Below are 8,678 nucleotides of genomic sequence, written 5' to 3' on the forward strand. Positions count from 1 at the left end.
CTGTCTGCTTAGGAACAGAAGGAAAGGCAGCTTCTTGCACTACTCAGTTTTCAGCTTATTTTTTCCTTTTGGTATAGTGAATCAAGGTCCTGAGTTTTTATTTTCCTTTCACAACCTCATAAAATTGAGAGGCATCACGCCAAGGTCCCAATACATAAATTGGCAAAGAGCAAAAACAAATAATATATAAACTATAGCACACTTAATTAAATATCATCTTTATCCTTCCTGGTAATCATAAGAAGTAAATTAAGAGAGCAAGATATAGAGTTATCTATCAATTTTACCATAAAAAAGTATTTATTTGCTTTGCTATTAATTCTGATATTCACCACTGGTAAGTGTGCTTCTGAGAATATACATTTTGTCAACACTTAGAAAAGCAATTTTTACCTTAGGAAATTAATGTCCTTGGTATCTACTTTTGGGAATGCAGTTAATCTAGTTTTGGGAATCTATCCTACAAAAATAATCCAACATGTAGACAATCTTTTGGCACAAAGATGTTCATTACAGAGTTATTTCCAATAGAGAAACATTGGGAAAACCCCAAATGATGAATAATAGAGCAACTGATAATAAATGTTAGTCTATCTATTCAATGAAATATCATGCTATAATTAAAATTATATTTATAAGGAACTCATAATCACAAGGGGAAATGTTCATGATATATTATTAAGGAGAAAAATTATTTCATGATTACATAAATATAAATGCCAAGCAATTGTATAATTAGCAAATAAAAGAATGACGAGTAACATTAACCAAAAAAATACTGATAAAATATATTTAAAAGCTATTTTAGAATTAAATAGACAATCCAAGTGATTGCACTAAAAAACACCCTGAACCCAAAATAAAACCAAAAGTACAAGGAGGTTGTATTAGGCAAAATAATGGTCCCAAAGATGTTTATCTTCCTCCCCAAAACCTGTGCATGTTCTGTTACATGGCAAAAGGGAAATTTTGCAGACACAATTAAGGCTGCAGACTTTATGAGAGGGAGATTATCTTGGATGATCCAAGTGATCCCAAGGGCTAATTACCTAAGGGCTAATCATAGGAGTCCTTAAAAGCAGAGGACATTCTCCAGGTGGCAGCAAAAGAGATGAGACAGAATGGGGAGGTCAGAAGAACTTGAAATGTGAGAAGGACTAGACTCATTATTTCTGACTCTGACAATGGAGGATGGGGGTTCAGAGCTAAGGAATGTGATAGCCTCTGGAAGCTGAGAATGACTCCCTCTCAGCTGAGAACCACGGCTAGCCAAGGACATGGAACCTCTGTTCTAAAACTACAAGAAACTAATCTGGGTCTGAAACCTGAATGAGTTTGGAAGCAGAGCTACCCTAGGGCCTCCAGAAAGGAGTGCAGCCCTGCTGACACCTTGATTTCAGCCTTGTGTGACTAAGAAGTGGACCCACCTGGGCCACGCTATACCAGGACCTCCAACTCGAACTGTGAAATAATAAAGTTGTGGTAATTTATTATGGCAGCAATAGAAAACTAATACACAGAGCTGGGCAAGGTGGCGCAGGCTTGTAGTCTCAGCTACACCCCACCAGAGGCTGAAGCAGAAGGAGTGATTGGGCCCAGGCATTCGAGGCTGCAGTGAGCCATTACCGTACCACGGCACTCCAGCCTGGAGACATGAGACCTGTCTCTAAAATAAGTAACTAAATAATTTATTTAAAAATTATTTAGGCCAGGTGCAGTGGCTCACGCCTATAATCCCAGCACTTTGGGAGGCCGAGGCGGGCGGATCACGAGGTCAGGAGATTGAGACAATCCTGGCTAACACAGTGAAACCCCGTCTCTATTAAAAAATACAAAAACTTAGCCAGGTGTGGTGGCAGGCACCTGTAGTCCCAGCTACTCAGGAGGCTGAGGCAGAAGAACGGCGTGAACTCGGGAGGCAGAGCTTGCAGTGAGCCGAGATTGCGCCACTGCACTCCAGCCTGGGTGACAGAGTGAGACTCCATCTCAAAAAATAAATAAATAAATAAATAAAAATTATTTAAATGTTTTACAAAAATAGAAAATACAGAGGGTAAAAATTAGAAGGTCAATTTAACAACAAATGCCTCTGTGATCTGTAAGTGGAAAGGAATATCTAGCTTTCACAGATATTTGATCATAGAGACATCATATGCATACCCTGGAAGAACACTTAATAGTATCAGAGTTATCACCAAAGAAGGGCTGGAAAAGGACAAAATAATATTGTCAAGGGCACCAAACCTCTCTCTGTTATATAATGATATGATAATCAAAGAAACTGTATGGCTATCCAAGAAAGTCTTCTTGGGAAGCTAGGGGGAATTAAGAGAGGTAACTAAGAAAAGGGTGATTACATATAAAGGATAATGATTGTTGAAAAAATGGTGGATAGGAGGCAGCACTAACTAGCAGCTCCCTCTTGAATGGACAGAGCAGCATATGGAGACCTACATCATGGCCTTTTGCTAACGCAGAAATATGCCAGGAAAGCAGGGAGAATCCACAGACTCTTTGAAGGAAGCGGCTTGCCACTGCAGGCTCCGTAAGACAGCTGAAAAACTGTGAGCGCTCATAGTGTGAGAGGGGGAACATCGCCCCTGAAACACGCATCCTCACTGGGTAACCTGAAGGTCCAGATCACAGGAGGATTTGACCTTACCTGAAGCTGAGACAAATTTAGAGAGGTGAGCGAAATATAGGGGACCAAATACATGGAACCAAAAAAGAGCCCACATAGCCAAAGCAAAACTAAGCAAAAAGAACAAATATGGAGGCATCACATTACCCAACTTCAAACTATACTACAAGGCTATAGTTACCAAAACAGTATGGTACTGGTATAAAAAGAGGCACGTAGATCAATAGAACAGAAGAGAGAGCCCAGAAATAAAGCGAAATAGTGACAGCCAACTCATCTTCGACAAGGCAAACAAAAACATAAAGTGGAGAAAGGACACCCTATTCAACAAATGGTGCTGGGATAATTGGCAAGCCACATGTAGAAGAATAAAACTGGATCCTCATCTGTCTGACCTTATACAAAAATCAACTGAAGATGGATCAAAGACTTAAATCTAACACCTGAAACCATAAAAATTCTAGATGGGAACATTGGAAAAACCCTTCTAGACATTGGCTTAGGCAAAGACTTCATGACCAAGAACCCAAAAGCAAATGCAACAAGATATACAGTGCAACAAACATATGAAAAAATGCTCAATATCATTAATGATCAGAGAAATGCAAATCAAAACCACAATATGACACCACCTTACTCCCACAAGAATGGCCATAATCAAAAAATAATAGATGTTGATGTGGATGTGGTGAGAAGGGACACTTTTACACTGCTGGTGGGAATGTAAACTAGTACAACCACTATGGAAAACAGTGTGATTTCTTAAAGAACTAAAAGTAGATCTGTTTGATCCAGTGATCCCACTACTGGGTATCTACCCAGAGGGAAAGATGTCATTATATGAAAAAGATACTTGCAGCCAGGCGTTGTGGCTCATGCCTGTAATCCCAACACTTTGAGGGGTCGAGGTGGGTAGATCACCTGAGGTCAGGAGTTTGAGACCAGCCTGGCCAACATGGCAAACCCTGTCTCTACTAAAAATACAAAAAATTAACTGGGCGTGGTGGCAGGCACCTGTAATCCCAGCTACTTGGGAGGCTGAGGCAGGAGAATCACTTGAACCCAGGAGGCAGAGGTCACAGTGAGCTGAGACTGCACCATTGCACTCCAGCTAGGGCAACGAGAATGAAACTCCATCTCAAAAAAAAAAAAGATACTTGCACACGCATGTTTATAGCACCACAATTTGCAACTGCAAAAATATGGAATCAGCCCAAATGCCCATTAATCAATGAGTGGATAAAGAAAATATGGTATGTATATATCAGGGAATACTACTTAGCCATAAAAGGAACAAAATGGCATTTGCAGCAACCTAGATGGAACTGGAGACCATTATTCTAAGTGCAATAACTCAGGAATAGAAAACCAAACATTGTATGTTCTCATTCTCATAAGTGGGAGCTAGGTTATGAGGACACAAAGGCATAAGAATGGACTTTGGGGCCAGGTGCAGTGGCTCACGCCTGTAATCCTAAGCACTTTGGGTGGCCGGGGCGGGCAGATCACCTGAGGTTGGGAGTTTGAGACCAGCCTAACCAACATGGAGAAACCCCATCTCTACTAAAAATGCAAAATTAGCCAGGCATTGTGGCGCATGCCTGTAATCCAAGCTACTTGGGAGGCTGAGGCAAGAGAATCAATCGCTTGAATTCGGGAGGCGGAGGTTGCAGTGAGCCGAGATTGTGCCATTGCACTCCAGCCTGGGCAACAAGAGCTAAACTCTGTCTCACACGCACACACAAAAAAGAATGGACTTTGGGAACTTGGGGGGAATGGATGGGAGGGGAGTGAAGGACAAAAGATGACACATTAGGTACAGTGTACACTGCTCAGGTGATGGGTGCACCAAAATCTCAGAAATCCATGAAAGAACTTATCCATGTAACCAAATACTACCTGTTTCCCAAAAACCTATTGAAAAGAAAAATAATAAAGGAAGAACCAACCTGTGGGCTTAGGTATGTGGGGTGTAGCTTTGCCTGCTAACTCCGGTTAAGTCAATATGGTTAATAAAATCATTTAATTACAGATCCACAGATCACTTCTTTCCTGGGTCAGGCTCTCTACATGGAAGATGGGCTGCGAAGAGATGGAAGTTCACTTTCCTTGTGCTGGGGGTAAGTTACCCTGGGACTGGAATAATACTGGCAGTCTAGGTTTAGATCAGAGGTTGGCTGACAATGGCCCACTGCCTATTTTTGTAAATAAAGTTTATAGAATATAGCCATGCCCATTCATTTACATATTGTCTGTGGCTAACTTCATTCTATAATAGCAGAGTTAAGTAGCTGCAACAGAGACCATATGATTCACAAAATACTTAATTTTGTCCTTTATACAGAAAAAAATTTGCTGACTCCTGGCCCAATATATATTGAACCTAAACACAATGAAGTAAACAGAAATACTTATATTAAGGTGGAAAAAAATTACCTGCAAATATACAGAATAGGAGAGACCTGACTCGGCAAGAAATGTGCTTGAATGAAAAAATCTTGATGGTTACAAATCAGCACAAATTATATAAGGAAGGAAAAAGTGCTTAAAAAAAAAGAAAACATACGCTTAGACTACCCTAAAAGAAACAATATCTGGACCAGTAGTTACAGTTCTCCTGTATGAACCATTCTTCAATATATACTCTTGTCTCCAAACTGTTCTCTGCCTAGCACCTTCTAACCAGTGGTTAATTTACACTTATCTGTCAGACTTCAGCTTAGATATCATTTCCTCTGAAAAGCCTTCTTTGATTCCCCAAAACTGGGTTCCATGTACTTACTTACTTTATCATGGCATTTAACATATCATACTGAAATTACTTCTTTATTTGTCCATCTGCCCCACTAGATGAATCCTGTAAGCAGAGATAGGTAGATGGTATTCCAATACCAGGCCCAGTGCCTGCCACATAACAGTTTTTTAACATGTTCATTAAATGAATGCCACAGCCCCATTATATTCCTTATCAGTTAGACTGCATAGTATAAGTATAGTCATGTGTCACTTAACAATGGGGATACATTCTGAGAAATGTGTCATTAGGTGACTTTGTCATTGTGTGAACATCGTAGAGTATATTTACACAAACCTAGATGGTGTAGCCTACCACACACCTGGGCTATATGGTATAGCCCTATTGCTCCTAGGCTACAAACCTGTAGAACATGTTACTCTGGTGAATAATGTAGTCATTGCAACACAATGGTAAGTATTTGTGTATCTAAACATGCAAAAAATATAGTCAAAATACAGTATAAAAGATAAAAAAAAATAGTATGCCTGTATAGGGCACTTACCGTGGATGGAGCATGCAGAACTGGAAGTTGCTCTGGGTGAGTCAGTGAGTGGTGAGTGAATGTGAAGGCCTAGGATGTTATTGCACACCACTGTAGACTTCATAAACATTGTACACTTAGGCTACACTAAATTTATAAAAAAACCTTTCTTTCTTCAATAATAAATTAACCTCAGCTTACTATACTTCTTTACTTAGCTTACTGTAACTTTTTTACTTTATAAACTTAACTCTTTATACCTTTTTAACTCTTATAATAACACTTGGTTTAGAACACAAACATTATACAACTATACAAGGATATTTTCTTTCCTTAGGTCCTTTTTCTAGATTTTTTTTCTATTTTTAAAAATTGTTTAAACTGTAAACTTTTGAAACAAAGACACTAACACATGTATTAGCCTTGGCATACACAAAATCAGGATCATCAATATCACTGTCTTCCACCTCTACATCTTGTCCTACTGGAAGGTCTTCAGGGGCAATATCATGGAGCTGTCATCTCCAATGACAACAATGCCTTCTTCAGGAATACCTCCTGAAGGACCTGCCTGAGGCTGCTTACAGTTGAATTTTTTGTTTAGGCCAGGCACAGTAGCTCACATCTGTAATCCCAGCACTTTGGGAGGCTGAGACAGTTGGTTGCTTGAGCCCAGGAGTCCAAGACCAGCCTGGGCAACATGGTGAAACCCCGTCTCTTCAAAAAGTACAAAAATTAGCTGGGCATGGTGGCAGATACCTGTAGTTCCAGCTACTTGGGAGGCTGAGGTGGGAGGATCACTTGAGCCCAGGAAGTCAAGGTTACAGTGAACCGTGATAATGGCAACTGCACTCTGGTCTGGGGCAAACAGGGTGAGCCCCTGTCTCAAAAAAAAAAAAATTGTTTAATAAGTAGTACATTCTAAAATAACAGTAGCATAATAAATACATAAGCCAGTAATCAAGTTTAAATCAAATGTTTATCAAGTACTATGTACATAATTGTACTATACTTTTTTTCCTCCAGAGCAGGAATGGAAGTTTATTTAAAAAGGCTTTAGAACAGGAAAGAAAGGAAAGTATGCTTGGAAGAAATCTAAACAGGACATGCTATACTTTTATACTACTGGCAGCACAATAGGTTAACACCAGCATCAACATAAACACATGAGTAATGCATTGTGCTATGATGTTAAGATAGCTAGGATGTCACTATGCGATAGGAATTTTTCAGTTCCATTATAATCTTATGGGACCACCTTCCTATAATGAGTCTGTTGTTGACCAAAATGTCATTATGCAGGACCTGTTTTCAGTTTTGGTAATTGGCAGACTGAATTCCCTGCTCAAATCTATCCCCTTCCCTACCCTCTGGTAGACAGATCCCTAGTTTTAACTGGGTTCTTTCCTCTGTGGCCACGTACTCGGAAGAATCAGTACTCCAGTCCTTAGGGTGATTAATCTTTTCTTTTTTTTTGAGATGCAGTTTCGCTCTTGTTGCCCAGGCTGGAGAGCAATGGTGCGATCTAGGCTCACTGCAAAATTCGCCTCCGAGGTTCAAGCGATTCCCCTGCCTCAGACTCCCAAGTAGCTGTGATTACAAGCATGCACCACCACAACCGGCTAATTTTGTATTTTTAGTAGAGACGGGGTTTCTCCATGTTGCTCAGGCTGATCTCGAACTCCCAACCTCAGGTGATCCACCCACCTTTGCCTCCCAATGTGATGGGATTACAGGTGTGAGCCACCACGCCCAGCCCAGGGTGATTTATCTTAACCAGATGGTTCAGGAGGGAATGTGATGCATTTAGGTACAGTGACATGTAAAGGGAAGTCAACTGAGCCATTACTGGAAAGGAGAGATTTACTTAAAAAGAAAAGTGTGAGGAAAATGAGTTTTTTCTGCCTTTGAATGTGCCTATGTTTAAAGAGGTTTTGCTAGAAGCTGCTTGCAACCATGAACATGAGGATAAAAATCCCCTGCATTGAGGATGGCAGAGATGAAAGACAGAAAGAGCTAGGGTCCGTCATCATCAGTAAGCATCTGGAACCACCCCATCGCCAGATGTTTCCTTATGTGAATAGGGTAACACTTTTAGTTGGCTTTTCCTTTACTTGTAGACAGAAGCATGCTAACTTATGCAAGTGACCACATTTTAAGCGGAACTTTAGCAAATTGGGGCACATCTAAATGGCAAATAATGGTGAAGGCTTTGGAAACCATGTCTTTTGAGGAATAAAGGATTATGGATGTAAAGTCTAGAAAAAAGAAGACTTGGCATGAGATATAACAGCTCTTCTGTAATGTGAATGAAAAACCTAGGACCAAGTGTGGTAATGGGGAGCTACATTAATTCACAAATAGGAGAAAAAAGGTCAAACTAGAACTACTTAAAACAGAAAGGTTTATGGGGTAGTATGTTTTCTTGTTAAGAACTTCAGCTGTAATTTGGTGACTCCCTGTTGTGAGCATTCTGGATTTGCTTTGGTGTGAGGCTGAGCAACAGAACTTCTGTTTCCTTCCAACCCTTAAGATGCCATAATTTTATCTGACTTCGTGACATGTACTGCAATAATTGTACAAGCAGGGAGGAAGAGTACAGTTCACCCTTGCACAACATTGGCTTGAACTGCACAAGTTCACTCACACGCAATTTTTTTTTCAATTAATACAGTCAGCCATGCATATCCACGAGTTCCATATCCACAACCAAATGAAGATATGAAATCTGTTGATCCAAAGAACCAACTCCCTGACTT

The 8,678-nt window shown here is 40.1% G+C and overlaps 1 annotated feature.

Moving 5' to 3' along the window:
- Nucleotides 1,644-1,807: a silencer, noted in NCBI's record as "fragment chr12:100414790-100414953 (GRCh37/hg19 assembly coordinates)". NCBI's record gives its function as "represses an EF-1alpha promoter that drives an FKBP-Casp9 reporter gene in an ReSE screen in K562 erythroleukemia cells {active_cell/tissue: K562}" and the evidence as "EXISTENCE:reporter gene assay evidence [ECO:0000049][PMID:32094911]".

Source organism: Homo sapiens, chromosome 12 (genome assembly GCF_000001405.40).
Source record: "Homo sapiens chromosome 12, GRCh38.p14 Primary Assembly".
NCBI lineage: Eukaryota > Metazoa > Chordata > Mammalia > Primates > Hominidae > Homo > Homo sapiens.